The 15,022-nt window shown below is 36.5% G+C and overlaps 1 long non-coding RNA gene across 52 annotated transcripts in view; it reads right to left on the bottom strand.

The window, feature by feature from the left end:
* The window catches only part of RMST (rhabdomyosarcoma 2 associated transcript), a 102,232-nt gene that overhangs the window by 77,868 nt on the left and 9,342 nt on the right, over positions 1 to 15,022 (bottom strand). For 10 of the 52 annotated variants that reach the window (NR_186054.1, NR_186087.1, NR_186057.1 and 7 more), the window contains one exon: positions 3,680 to 3,737. The exons of the other annotated variants lie outside the window; for them this stretch is intronic. This is a non-coding gene — a long non-coding RNA (rhabdomyosarcoma 2 associated transcript). The remainder of the gene's footprint in view (positions 1 to 3,679; positions 3,738 to 15,022) is intronic. 52 annotated transcript variants of the gene reach the window in all.

Genomic DNA, 15,022 nt, shown 5'->3' with positions numbered 1-15,022 from the left:
GACAACACTTCAGATGCTCTCAGATGTTCCAAATGCAAAACTTATCTTTTCTGTGGTGAAACTGGAAATTCTTTTCTTAGGAAACCTTGATTGTTTCACCCCTGCTATTTTTTACATAATGAAACAATTTGCATATCAGCAAGGTCAGAGGGGACGGAACTGGAATCTCAGGCTCCGCATCTCCCTGCTGCTCCCAATGCCAATGCTACACATTTCTCATTCCCTTTTGTTCATAAGTTTTATAATTTCACACAATTACAAGTCGTATAGCATGACATCAAGCTTGATCTTGTCATTTTGCTTGATTGTGCAAAATTACAGTCGTTCCAGAATGTTGACAGAATTCCTTTCAATATTTTCTCTGTTCGTTTATTAAATGGCAATGTCATACTTAAAGAATGATCATTTCTGGGACCACTCATTCAAATCTTTAAAGACTGACATCCCATTAAAAATTCGTTTCTCCCAATCACCCTCTATTCTCTCTGTCCCCAGTACACTCAACATGTCAGAAATAATTATAAGTGGCTTAATATATACAGAAGCCATTTCTATTTAATATTCCAGAATGAATGAATGTAGTATTGCTTTGTTATCAGCTTTATTCTGGTTCGAAATTTACATTCAGTATCAGTAATATCTCATGAAAAAGTTGAAACCTGCTCTAATGTTTCCAATTTCTCTAGATCAGCCCTACTTTCAGACATCGTTTGTTTCTTACAAATAATTATTTAATATTAATGGCAAAGGTCTGTCTTCCTCAAAGATGGCCCTCACCTGCTTTTGCTGCTTTTCATAGGAGCATGTTCAAGGTAGCCATGTCACTTATTCACATTAGGGCAGCTTGTTTAAAAACAGATTTCTGATTAGAATTTTTTTAAAAAGCCAGAGGTGATTATCAAGCCCATTCAGAGTTCTCTCTTATTTCACATTGCCTCTTTAGAGTGGGCACTGCCTGTTCTTTTTATCAGACAAAGGCGGAAAACTTGTTTTGTATCCAAGGTAAATGGAGAATGTCTATACCTGTATTTTTTTTCAAAGCTTACCATTCTTACCTATGGTAAAAGACTATTACAAAGGGTCCTACTCTATCATGGTCTTGCTAGTATTGTAGAATAAATAAAGCAGTCTCTACAAAAGGATGCATTCTGCGTACCTATCTCCAAGTTGATGGAATGCAATGTATTATGGGAAACATTATCCCTTTGCACAGATAATCAGGATTACAAGCTTTCTGGATCTCTGACTTGTTGGCTGATATTACCTGCTTGGACAAGCTCTAAAAAGACACACTGCCAGGTGGGCCTACATGTGGAGAGGCCCAAGGCTTGCTGAAATGCCCTGATGTAAATGCTGAGAGACTAGTTTCCAAGATGGCTGCGCCTTGATGGAAAAAGTTCTTGACTTGGACAGATGGAACTGTGTCTCCTCTTTGCCACTTATTAGCTATGTGGCTTTGAGCAAACCGTTTATGCTTCCTGAGGCTTATTTTATAAAATGCTGGTAATAATGCCTTTGGGGGCTCATATAATAAATAAAATAATGTATGTGACAATGTCGGCTCATAACAAATTATCAGGCAGATGCTTGGCATTATTTTTCTTAAGTAATTACCTAAAGCTAACAAGCAAGTCAGTCAAGATCATGGATATCAAACAGAAATCTAGAGGAAATCTGTGTATAACATAACCACATTTGCTTAACACTAGGAATAGGAATTTCTTCTAATGAAATATTACCATGAGTAAAATTTAATCTTATGTATCTATCATATGTACAGGTAACCAATTTTCAGTGAGTGGAAATGCAGTAAAATACTCAAAAACTGCATATAGAGTAGACATAAATTAATACTTTTTAATAATTCAGGAGGCATTTCATTGTCTTATTGTACCTAAGGGTCATAATTATGATTATCAGTGGCTAATTTACTAGAGAAATGGATGGAATGCAAATGACTCTATGGTATAACTGAGAATAAATCTTTGGAATTAATCCATGCTATCCATTTTTAATAGTCACAGGTCTCTATTTCAAAAATGCAGCATGACTTCAATCATTCTAAGTTATCTGACCAGAGCTTTTTGATGATTTGTATTCTCCTAAGGGGATGTTAACCTCAGCACAAATTTCCACATTCTAACATATCACCAAGCATGTTGCCCAAACATAATGCCTTGTGGGTAGTGTTCAAGGCTGGGAAGTCTTCTACGTGTCTGACCCTGATGCACCAGGTGTGGAAAGAGCAGCAAGAAATAACTGCAGAAAGGGGAAGTAGAGAGGAAATAATAAGCTCTGTGCTGACTAATTGATGAGACTGTCAAAAAGATGAAAGGAATTAAAAGCTAAGGAAGACTCTGTAAATTATATGGCACTAGAGAAGTCTAAGGTATTATTATAATTATTGTTATTAATAGTCTTAGTTTACAATGGAAGAGTTATATATAGCTTGAAAGAGAAGAGCTCTTTTTCAAATGATGTTACATTTATTCCTTCATCATCCAATTCTTGCTCTCTCAGCTTATTTCTCAGCCAACATGAGTGACATGTATAGTCTATCCTTGTTTTCTTCTGTTTTTATCATAGTTTGACACAGTTGAAATAGATGGGAAGATCTTGCAGAGAATAAGGCTGCAAGCAAATTCTGAAATTTTAAAAATAGCTGTCTCTGAATAGTAAAAGGGTTTCGGCACATAGGAAGCTAAAGATGCTGTTGTTAATATGACTAAAAGCATGTAGCAATTATTGTAGGATGGTAGAATATTCTAAAAGCTCAGCATCTGCACACTATATCTGTTAGGATGCCATTGTCACAAAAGACAGATACATGTCAGAATGGTATCCACTTCTGAGCTTGGCCATCTGAACTGTCTACTTGAAATAAATAAATCTGCATATGTGAGTGTGCGTGCATGTGCAGGCATAGCTCTTATGGTTGTATTGCTATAGACACACACATTTATACAAAAATATATCACTGTAAGAACTGAGGACATATTTGACAGAGGGCTATAAAACTCTACAACGCCATCAACAATCATTCATAAATCACTTAAAAGTAGAACTAGATTAATAAAGGTAAATATTCATTTCCCCACCACAAGAAGAAGAGCTGTTTCCATCTCCTTAATTAACTAATACAAGTATCTTCAGAATATTAGCAAAGCACAGTCCATAGTGCTTAAAGAAGAAAGAAAGAAAAGTATAAAATGGTTATATAAAGGGCAGTACAGTAATAAATAGAATGAAGGAGGTTTACATTGGCTAGCATGGAATGATACATTACATACATTAGGTCGAAAAGCAATTTGTAGAACGTTAAGTATAATATTGTCCCACTTGGGCTTTACATACACACATAGACAAGTGTACTTACAGAAAAAAGTGTGAAATGACAAGAATCAATTAATACTTCTGGGAAAAGAAGTAGAATTGGGGAGGGAGGAGGTACAGCTCCTTTTCACTATTTAAATTTCAATATAGCTATTATTTTTACAAGTATTTTTTAAAGAAACAAAGGAGATATAAGTCATAACACCTCCACATAGAGAACACTGAGTGTAATTACAAGTTTTTTAAATCATCGAGCCTACCAATTTCTGTTGGTCACATTGTTCTGTAAAATGAACATTTTTAAATGGAGGGACATAGCCATCTTTTCTGGCTTACGGCCACTTACCCTTCACAAGTACTTCCAAAGCTTCATCCAGAACATTATGCCCATGTTAACCTCAAGTCTGAAGAATAGAAAATACTAGTAAATCCATCTTGCTGTCAGCCCACATTTACCACAAAAAGAATGTTCCTTCTTGTTTTTAACTGAACAGATTTAAAGCACTAGAAATAAAAATCGTACCCTACTTTTAAAAAACCTATCTATACATGCTTACCACAAAAACCTCTATGAGTAGCTGTTTCAGAGCATGGGCTTAAGCGAAAGCACATCCCACTTTCACCATCATCAACAGCGTGGTTCTTTAGCCCTTTATTAGTGCAACTAATATGGGAACCTTTGAAATAACAGAGCACAAAGGGCCAAGAAACTAAAAATTCGGGTCTGATATTTTGTCTACAATATTATCAAACTGACAATAGCATACAGTGGCCTAGTCATTCATTCATTCATTTGAAAATATGACTGTCCCGTGAGCCGTGCACCTGGTCATGGTGAAAGTGTGAGACAAATTCTCAGCTATTTGCTCCCCTCAAGAAACTTACAGTTGTGTAAGCAGGAACTTCAAAAATAGAAAAAATCTTGGGTGGTGCTTGGCATGAGGGGCTTCTGGGTTCCTCTGCACTAATCACCCCCATAAACAAATAAATAAATAAATTTATTTAATAAATAAATAATATAAATTTATTTAATAAATAAATAATATAAATTTATTTAATAAATAAATAATATAAATTTATTTAATAAATAAATAATATAAATTTATTTAATAAATAAATAATATAAATTTATTTATTAAATAAATAATAAATAAATTAAATATTAAATAAATAAATTTATTAAATAAATAATAAATAAATTAAATATTAAATAAATTAAATAATAAATAAATTTTAAAATCTTAAAGAGTATCAATTTTTTCTAATCTTTGAGAAATTCCTGCATTTTTCTTTGATATAACCAACAATTTTACTCGTGACGGAAGTAAAGCATTAATATTTATTTCCATGATGTCGAAAATCAAAACAAAAAAAGTTACTAATGGAAGTAATGAGGAGTAATGGGAAGCTACATGGAGGGCTGGCAAACCATTACCAGTGGCCCAACCCAGGCTGCTGCCTGTTTGTGTCAATAAAGTTTTACTGGAACACAGTCACACTCTTCTCTTTAGGTATTGTCTCTGGCTGCTTTCGAGCTACCACAGAAGAGAAGAGTATTCATAATAGACCTCATATTCTCCACAAAAACTAAAATGCTCACTAAACTAGCTCAGTAAAAGTTTGCCAATCCCCAAGACGTTAATAAAAACTGGACAATGTACTTAAAAACTGGAATGTATTTTTTGTCTATTTTCCATTTTGATGTGTGCTTTTTGGAAACTTTGGTTTCCAAAGGGATTCCTTAAGGCATGTATGTTTGTTCCTTCTCTGATATTAGGAGGAACAAAAAGAGACAGTGAATAAACAGTGTTGTAAAACATAGGTTGAGGGAATTTAAATTAAAAATAGAATGGCTTTACAAACAATGTTTGTAAATCTGAACTTTGCCACTACATTCATGCTCGTGTTGGCCAAGGGCTGAAGTTTCGAGATGGATGTGGAAAGAGCAGCCTGAATCAAATGAGTAAGATCACAATGGGGCTTATTTAGCCAGTCTTGGAAATATTTATAATATCATGAGTACTGCCCAAATTTCTGAATGTCCCAACTTTATTCTAAAAAGAATCTGGCCAAAACATTTTTTTAAAATGCTTCAGCTAAATTTTCATAAAACACTTGCACGGATGGAACAATGAAGACTACTGCCAAAGATGCTGCAATTTAATTCTGCCTGGCACACCGGCCAGGCTTGTTTGGCATTTCATTAACAAAAAATAAACCTCACTCTTCTTCCTGAGAAAATAGCATGTGTAGTATTTTTGGGGACAGCAAAGCTCAGCATGCTATTTCTCGGTATGAAAAAAATATATCTGAAATGTGGATAAATAAAGCTTTTAAAAGCCTTTCTTTGGCATGGTAACTGGCCACCCTGGGAAATCCGTGTTCTTAGTATGTGACTGAATAAAGCTAACATAAAATAGACCTTTAAATGTTTAAAAAATCACAGAGAAACAAGGTAATAAAATAGTAAGAGGATTGTTCTGGAAACAGAAAACACATTCTTGTGACACTTTGACACTATGATGCTCCATGCAAGCCAATAACTTCATCTTCCTTAATTTTAGCCTCTTTTTGGAGTAAAATATACATAAAGTATGGATGTCATAAGAGAAGAGGACAGATACTTGTATCTGTGACTTGTTTGCTCTTCCTCAGAAGAAATGAAAGAAAAAAAATTAAAAGTTAAAAAATATATAAATGCATCCTTACATGAACAACTTCATGACTCAATTATCAGCAGTGGAACAGACAAAGATCGTTCCAGTTCTGTGCCAAATTCTTATTCAAGGAAGTCTGAATTTAGTTGAAGAAAATAAGTTGCTAACAGCTATCAATGAACTGTATAGCTCAGGTTAACATAAATTGGATACTGATATAATTAATGTAATGACTGGATTATGTACGGGGTATTGATAAGGCTAAGGATAGTTGGGATGGGGGTGGGGACAGGACACATAAGGGAAAGTTTCTTGGAGGAGGTGACACACTTGTGTTGACTGAAGAAAAAGTAGGAGTGGGCCAGGAAAGAAGAGTGAGAAGAGACTTAGAGGCAAAGTAGACAGTATGTGCAAAGAAATAATATGGTTCATGTGTAGAATTCCAAGCTGTTGCATGTAGCTGGAAAGCAAAGTGCAAGACAGGAAATTGTTAGAGATAAGACTAGAAAGAGGGAGGAAGCAGCAGATTTAAGGCTAGAATTTAGCTTGGGAATATTTTGTGCTTTATCTGGCAGAGTAGGGAAACACTAGAGGGTTTTAAGCTTGCACACAGCAGGTCTGCTTTGGGTTGCATGTTAGGTGGATCGCATGGTGACAAGGCTGATGGAAGAAAGGTCATTTGTATGGTGCAGATGTCCAAGCAAGAGATGAAACATCACAAGTAGCAGTAGTTCTGAACTACAACAGTGGTAGTGATCGTGAGCCTTGCAGATGGATTCACGAAACGTTTAGTGTGAAAAATTAGCAGTTCCCTAATCCCAGCACTTTGGAAGGCTGAGGCGGGCAGATCACGAGGTCAGAAGATTGAGACCATCCTAGCTAACACGGTGAAACCCCGTCTCTACTAAAAATACAAAAAAATTAGCCAGGCGTGGTGGTGGGCGCCTGTAGTCCCAGCTACTCGGGAGGCTGAGGCAAGAGAATGGCATGAACCCGCAGGCAGAGCTTGCAGTGAGCCGAGATCAGGCCACTGCACTCTAACCTGGGTGACAGAGCGAAACTCTGTCTCAAAAAAAAAGAAAAAAAAAGAAAAAAGAAAAGAAAAGAAAAGAAAAATTAGCAGTTCCTGGTACTGGGTTTGATATGGAAAACAAAAGTGGGCAAAAAAGAGCCAAAAGTGATTCTTGGGTTTCTAGTTTAGATGAATGAGTCGACAGCAGTGCCACAAAATGAGACAGAAAGCATAGAATGAGAAACTACGTTAAGGGGGATGATGATGAGGTTAGTTTGCACACGTTAGGTTGGAGGGTGCCTGTTGGACATGGCAAGCAGTTGGATATTTGAGTCTGAACTGCAGACAAGAGACTGGACTACAAATAAAATGTCTGAGTAGCTACAAACCATGATGGTGGATGAAAGTACTGAGGAAAAGTGTACAGGGCAAGAGCAACGGGCTGAGGATGAACCCAGGGGAAGAGGAAGAAGGGAAGTCCAGGAAGGAGGCAAAAAGACATAATTAGAAGACCACCCAGAGGGTATGGTACAGTGGAAGCCAGGGGAATGGGCAACTTTCAGAGGGAGGGAGCTATCAATGGGGTCAAATGCACAGAGAGATCTAGGAAATAATTTAAAAGCCCACTGGATTTAGCAATTCAGGAACTACTGGTTCATCAGTAGTAAGGTAGGAGCAGAAGCCAGATGCTGGGAATTGTAAAACAAAGTAAAGACTGGGCATTGTGGCTCACGCCTATAATCTCAGTACTTTGGGAGGCCAAGGCAGGAGGATAACTCGAGGCCAGGAGTTGTAGAATAGCCTGGGCAACATACAGAGACCCCCATCTCTACAAAAAAATTAATAAAATAAAAGAATTAGGCAGGTACAGTGGTGTGTGCACCTGTAGTCCTAGCTCCTTGGGAGGCTGAGGTGGGAAGATTGCTTGAGCCCAGGAGTTTGAGGCTGCAGCGGGCTATGACTGTGCCACTGCACTCCAGGCTGGGCAAGAGAGTGAGACCTTGTCTCAAAAAAAAAAAAAAAAAAAAAAAAGCAAAGACAAGGAAACACCCAAAGTACAGATACACCAAATTTTCAAGAGGTTTGAATGAGATGAGGAGAGCGATCAGAATAATAATGGAGAGGGACCAGGACAAGGGAGAGGGCATTTGGGACAAAAGAAACATGAGGATGGATGGATGCACTTGAGCCACGGAGCACTGGTGCCCGAGTGCCAACCCAGACCACAGCTCTACTAGAGGCTGCTCTGCTTCTCTTTTCCATTTGAGAAAATTTGGGAGCAATTTGCCCTGGTCCTAGGATGGCAGGCTCTACAGCAAGCAAAACATGGAATAAAATGGAGTCAGATGTATTGTTTTCTTGTTAAATCTCCTAAGGAAATCAGACAAAAGGCAATTTCTTAAATAATTAGTGTTCACTAAAAGTCTCTTTTTTAACTCCTATTTAAGCCCTGTCAGTCACTATCAGAGTGCTTACACTTTATTTATAATAATGCTTGTATGATAGGTGTATGGGCACACTATGAAACATCCAAACTGATACCTGATTTATTGGGGAATGCCAATTATACTCACTGGTGTTTGTCTACAGTTCAGAATCTCCTACACTGAGAAGGGACAGTACACCATAAGTTAAAGGAGGCTCATCTGGGTATAAATAGCTTTGAGACTTCCCTGGCTCTGTCACTACCTAGCTGTGTGACCTTAAACAAGTCCTTTTTCCAAGTTCAGCCTTCCTTACGACAATGAAATGAGATGCTTCCACTTCATGGTTTCCTCTACCAGAATTTTCAGTTAAGAGAAGACTACAGATAATCTGGTTATACTTTCTACGATGTAAGAAATTAAATCAAAATGTGTTTTATAGATACTGAAGCAAATATCGAGTAGTTCTCAGGTCATAAAATTATGGTGTACATCTTAGAAGAGAAATATCTACTGATAATTAGGAACGATAGCTATACAAAGAGCCTTCCATTTTCAAATGAAAAGCTCATTTGAATTACACAATATTTTCCTTCCCTTTCAAAGCCCAATACCAAGTGTTTGATGACAAATCAAAGCAGAATTGTTCCAGCCTTAGTACATATGCCACTGTCTCCAAAAGCAAAGACAGAAAGACAATTTCTGGAGACAAATAATTCATTTCTGTTTCTGCTCTATTCACTTAGAAGGATATAACCACAGCTGAGATTCAACCTGACATTCAGTCATACCAAGTCTACGGATTTCTTTACCACACAGATTGCAATTTCTCTCTGCCGTGTCTCCCTAGACAATGCTGAATAAAATGACCTCAAAGAACTGGCAGAGGGGAACTACACAATTAAAAAGTGCTTTTAGCTTTATATAAAGTTAAGCAACACATACTTGTGATCCTGAAGATAAAATGGAATAAATCACAGTGCAAAGAAATAACCTTATCCTTTCTCTTCCTCATTGCAGAGACAGAGGAAAAACCATGCATTAAGTATGTTTGTTCCCTTAAAGGTTTGCTGGGATCCTGCGTATTCTTACTCAGTCCTGCTCTATGAGTAGCTTTTCTATCACAGAAGCAAAACCTATGACCAGTTTTTAATTTTTTTCTATCCTTTAATGTTTCTGAATCCTCCTCTCTGTAGTGTTAAATTGTGCTGATGTTGTTGTTATTTTGTTTTATATAATTTTTTACAACTATTAAATTTATCCCCCTTTTTGGTTTTCACATCATAGCTATAGTTTCAGTCCTGGATCTGTTGCACTGTCACCTGGATTATTGTGGCCTTTCTTATCTGGTCTTTTGATTTCTGAAAATTAAGATTCTTCATCTGCCTTTCCATGGCTCCAAGTCTTCATGAAAAAGCCTATTATCAATGCTCAGCAGGATTGCTAGGTTTGCTTCCACTGCTTATCCATGGACCTCACCACATCTACTTCCTCCTTAGGTTTCCACGTTGATATTTTATATTGCTGGCTTTCCTAACTTCAAAGCGCATGTGGGCACCTGACTCTGCCCCATGCACTATGTCTCTTAACCCTCGTTAGTCTGCCATATTCTTCTCAGTCAAGTCACCTCCGTACCCTCATCATCTAACCATTCCTATTTTATTTCTAAACCTTCCCCTAAAGTCTTTCCTAAGTCTTTAAATCACTTAATCTTCCACCTTCCTTTCCTCAGTAATGCCTGGCTCTAGAATTCTATAAGAAGCCCATCTTTGCTAGCAACCTCTGGAAAGCAAATATCCCTTAGTTGCAATTTCTGAAGTACACACCATTCTTTCCTCCATTCCTTTCTTAATATCCCAAATTACCCTATGATTTGAATATTTTATGTCTTTATGACTTTAGTAGTATTTTCTAATTCCAAATTTATTATATCTATATCTCTTTTTTTAGATCTTCAACCCCTCAAGTGCAGGTATTATATAGCTATAAATCAGCCTTTTGGAGTACTGTCCAGACACCATTTTGAAAATGCAGAAATTTTAATGGTGATAATAAAATAGAAAGTATTATGCAAATTTGCCTATTCTTCCATGAGGACATGAATGAACAAATCATTTTGGAAACCACATAGCTCGGCTCTATCAGCTCCCCAGTGGGCCTTGATAGCACTAAGCCTATTTCTTACCTTGCTCTCTGTCCTGTGGAGCTAATCCAACCATAGACTTGCCTTTGAAGTCCACTGGAACATCATGCATGGGTGAGCTCCAGAGAGCACACAAAAGCAAGAGAAGAAAACTGACATGTTATTCTTAACCAGAGGGACTGTGCTATTTCCGAGTTTCTATACACACTTGGGCATCCCACAGACTTCAAGAGCCTGCAGATGAAGCAGGAGAAGAAGCTGAAGTTATCAGTGTCCTGCAAATGGGCAGCAGATGAAGCCACAGTAGAATGAAACTTTTAAATTCCCAGTAAATCATTCTCTTTTTTTTATTCTTTATCAAGAGTCATATAATCACAAATATAAAATTCTTTTAGGCTATAAAATGACTCCCTGAGAATGTCAAGCTCTTCTGCAAATGGCATCCACTCTTCATCTAAGGTATAAAAATTGCCTTATAGACTAGCATTCAATTCCATGCAACAGACATTTATCCAGAATCTTTACTGAAAAGGAGTTGTGCTCATCAAGATGAGAGCACCATCAACATCTTCAAAAAGAAAAGCATAAAGCAGCTCTCATAGCATATAGTCCTCCACAGCCACTTAAAAGCACACTCTCAAACAACGTCAGTATGTGATGCAGCAACGTGGGTGAAATAGAAATTACAGCTTTAACACTGTAGTATTAATACTTTAGTATATCTCTAATATCATAACCAAGGGCTTAAACTAAATCGCATTTGGGAAACATATTTATTATGTATATATTTTTGAAACCTGCATGTCCTTTCCTAAAAACAAATTCTACTGGAATAAGATAATCAACAAGAGGACCCACTACTTAACAACTATGTGTGTTCTTGGGTGTTTTTTTCTTTTAACCTCTCTAAACCTCTGTATAGTAACCTGTAAAGTGTGAAGGATCATAATGTTTGCCTTTAGTCCATGTGAAAATGATGCCTGACATGTGGGAAATGGTAAAAAAAAAAAACAAAAAAAAAGATACTAAGGTGGGTATTATAATCGTTATTATAATCCTTATTTTACAGAGGAAGAAACTGTGTTTCAAACATACTAAGCAATTGGTCCATGGTCGTAGTAGGTCTGGAATTTTAATCTAATTTGGTTTGACTCCAAAGGCTGTACTCTTCCTACCACAGAGGTTGCTGCTTCTCTTACAGCCCCAAGGTGAGAAAGAAAAGGTGACATCAGCTGAGAAGATCTTCCAAATGCCATCAGACATAGATGCCTGTGTTCCAATCACCCTCTCTTGAAAGTGTATGCGCAAATACTAGAATATTAGACCTTCAAAAGCCTTCCAATGCCCTCAAATCACAGGGCACAAACTCCAAGGTAAAAATGGCTGAAACCATGACTGATCAATGTAGCCTAGAAAAGTAAACATGCACCTGAGAAGTAGAAACTCACTGATTACTGACAAGATATGGACAAGACAATCAATTTGTGCTGCTGGACACTGATTGATGTAGCACTGCAATTTAGATTTCACGTTTAAATATTTCAAGATGAAAGCTAAGAAGTTGTATTTGTTTTCGGAAGCAACATTACTCAAAATACTTTGGCTACTTTATTGGGGAAAAGACAGAAGGCAATGAGCAATTTATGTCAAAGTTAAATTATTATGAATGAGTACACTGGAGATGTACCAAAGAGGTGTATCGTCTCCTAATAGTAACAAAGTGAGTATGCCTACTCTCAAACATATTTACTTTAGAGACATGACACTAAAATTAAATTTGAAGAAGACATTGGACATTATGATCCAGCAAGTGAAAGTGAAACTGGGAATAGCTGAATCTGTAATTCAATAAAAACAATTTTTTTTCCACATATTTTCTTTCAACTCTTCTGATTTCTGAATTTAACCATATACTATATTTCCTCAATATATAATCCTTTGTCCTTCTCAAGGTTTTTTTTTTTTTTTTTTTTTGGCTTCTTTTTTCTTCAAATTGTGTGTGTCTTAATGTGTATTTTTAAAGGTAGGTCAGACATACTGTCTCTAAGTACCTAATGTTCAAGCTGTAAATCACCCAGAGGAAAATGAGGGTGGGGGAAAAGGGGAAGAAATTCCATTGAAGAATTTCTCAACCACATCTTTTACATTGCATGGAGTTCAAAGGTGTCCCCTGCAAATGGCTATCAAAATGAAATACAGCTCAGAGCAGACAGCAGTGAGAGGAGTTCCTTATTTGGGAGCACGAAAGGCATTCACAAGTCACAGGGAGAAGGTGTGCAGCACCTCTGCTATCATCATCTGTTTAGACAAGTGGATGGCGAACCTTGCTTCCCAAAGACACTGAGAATTGAGAGTGGCCGCATCCAGGAGTGGGTCTTATTAAGCAGCCTTCTTTCTGATTTTCTCCATGATGTGTCCAGTATAAGTCCCTTCACGTAATAGGATCTCCAGGAAAATTGGTCCTTTGCTACATCCTCCCCCTGCCCCCAATAAAAGGGTATCTGTCTTCCCCAGCTCACAGAATACCGTACACTGTCAATAAGAAATGTCTACTAGGAATGTGTATTTTTTTAGCCAATTCTTCCCTTCCCTGGGCAGAGAAGCCAGAAATAGTCAAGGCTCTTTTTTCTACATCTACAAAACACAAACTCCACCAGAGAAAAGAAGAGAATAATTAAGTCATTACTAGGCCTTTGCTTTTCAACACACAGGTAACTAAGGGCAAAAATGTCAAGGCTTTTAAAGTGAAGTTTTCCAATTCTTTTTGGCCTGCTAATCTTTGGCTTTCCTGGAAAATGATTATGAACATGCATACAAAGTTGTTTTTCCTTAAAATAGTAAACTTTCCTATTTGAGATAGAAAGCGAGAATTGAACCAATACCAAAGCTCTTTGCTTAATGTTAAGTTTTATTTGGAATAGTGTTTTTATCTATGTGGGTAAATGGTATAATATTTCTGCCAGAGAATGAAGCTATGGGCAGGGCTTTACACATCCTGGGATGTGAAAGACAGCTTTGAAAAGTTTTCCATCACATAGAATGTGTTAGCCTATCTTCTCAAGATAGTGAGGAAGTTGACATATTTCAAAAGATAGGCACAAGCAATGATGTAAACTATTTTTAAAACAGTTCAATTTACATTCATGTCCAAACTATGGAAGACTATTGCAAAGTTGAATAAGGGCACCAATAAATCCACCAAGCCCCCAGCCTTCGAAACACACACACGTATTTTACTATAAACCTTCAATAAAGTAAAATATTTGTAATTTTTAGACAGTTGAATTAATCACTAACAGGATGACATAGTTACATTTTTTAAAGTTTTTATGAAATGAAAGCCTTATGTTTTTGCTGATGAAATCAGTTGAAAATTCTAAAATCCATTTCCAAGAATTAGCCTTTATTCTGAATATTCTCATTATTCTCACAACAAATAATCTGAACCTATATTCTGAGCCTAAAAGTTGTATTTGATTGTTAATACTGCTTCCTACCTGTGCAGAAATAGCTTTTCCCTTCACACTACTAAAGTATGATTGCTAACAGTAATTTTATTATATTATTCAATTAGTTCTTCAAGGTTTTCTTTTCTCTCCAATTCTACTACAGTTGATGAGAGAACGATTATATTTTCTCCTTTTATAAAATCCTTCACAGTGCCATTAGCAACACTGTTCAGATGAGATAATTAAGAAAAAAAGCCAATTGAATGATTGAGTGAATGAATGATTGAAAATCTTTCCGAAGTTATAATAATAATTGTGATTATTGGGGTCAAAGCAAAACCATTTTAGTCTAAAAGATTGTACACTATACCAACTTTTACCCAATTTGGAATGAAAAATTACATTTCCAAACCATGTAGAAATTCTGAACTCTTTGAAATATTTTCTTTTGTGGGAAAGAACCAGAAATTCTTTGTCATATGTACCCATTTATCTTATTTTAGTTACCCAACCAAAAGATAAAATAATATTCTCAAAGAGATAATTGACTGGAGGAGTTTAAAGTGTTTATAAATATTAGAGATCCAATCAGTAAGTAACTGAGTTAATTGTCACGGACTGGACTGCATTGCACTGAATCAGCAGGATTCAAGTGAGGACTACTTGACTCTGGATTCGGATCTTCCTAGCACTTTAAAAACATCAGGCTTAAAATAAAATGGATCTGAGTCTTTAAGGCGATCTGCCTGTTTATACTGGCATTCTGCACTATACCATATTCTTACTTGTCAAACCGTTTCCCTGGATTGAATATAAGCACAACATCTGATGAGAGTCCATGTATGTCTCCCGTTTCCATTACGTAAGTATGTACCTTCTAGATGACTTCCTCACCACTTGAAAGTTACACCATTCTCAATATTTTTTAAAATTAAAATTAAAAGCTGCTAACACAAAACTATTTCTGTAAATGTCACCAAATGGAATTTCTTTTAAAGATCAAC

This window comes from Homo sapiens, chromosome 12, assembly GCF_000001405.40.
Source record: "Homo sapiens chromosome 12, GRCh38.p14 Primary Assembly".
NCBI lineage: Eukaryota > Metazoa > Chordata > Mammalia > Primates > Hominidae > Homo > Homo sapiens.
The sequence above is the reverse complement of the archived record's forward strand: the minus strand, read 5'-3'. Positions and strand labels throughout refer to the sequence as shown.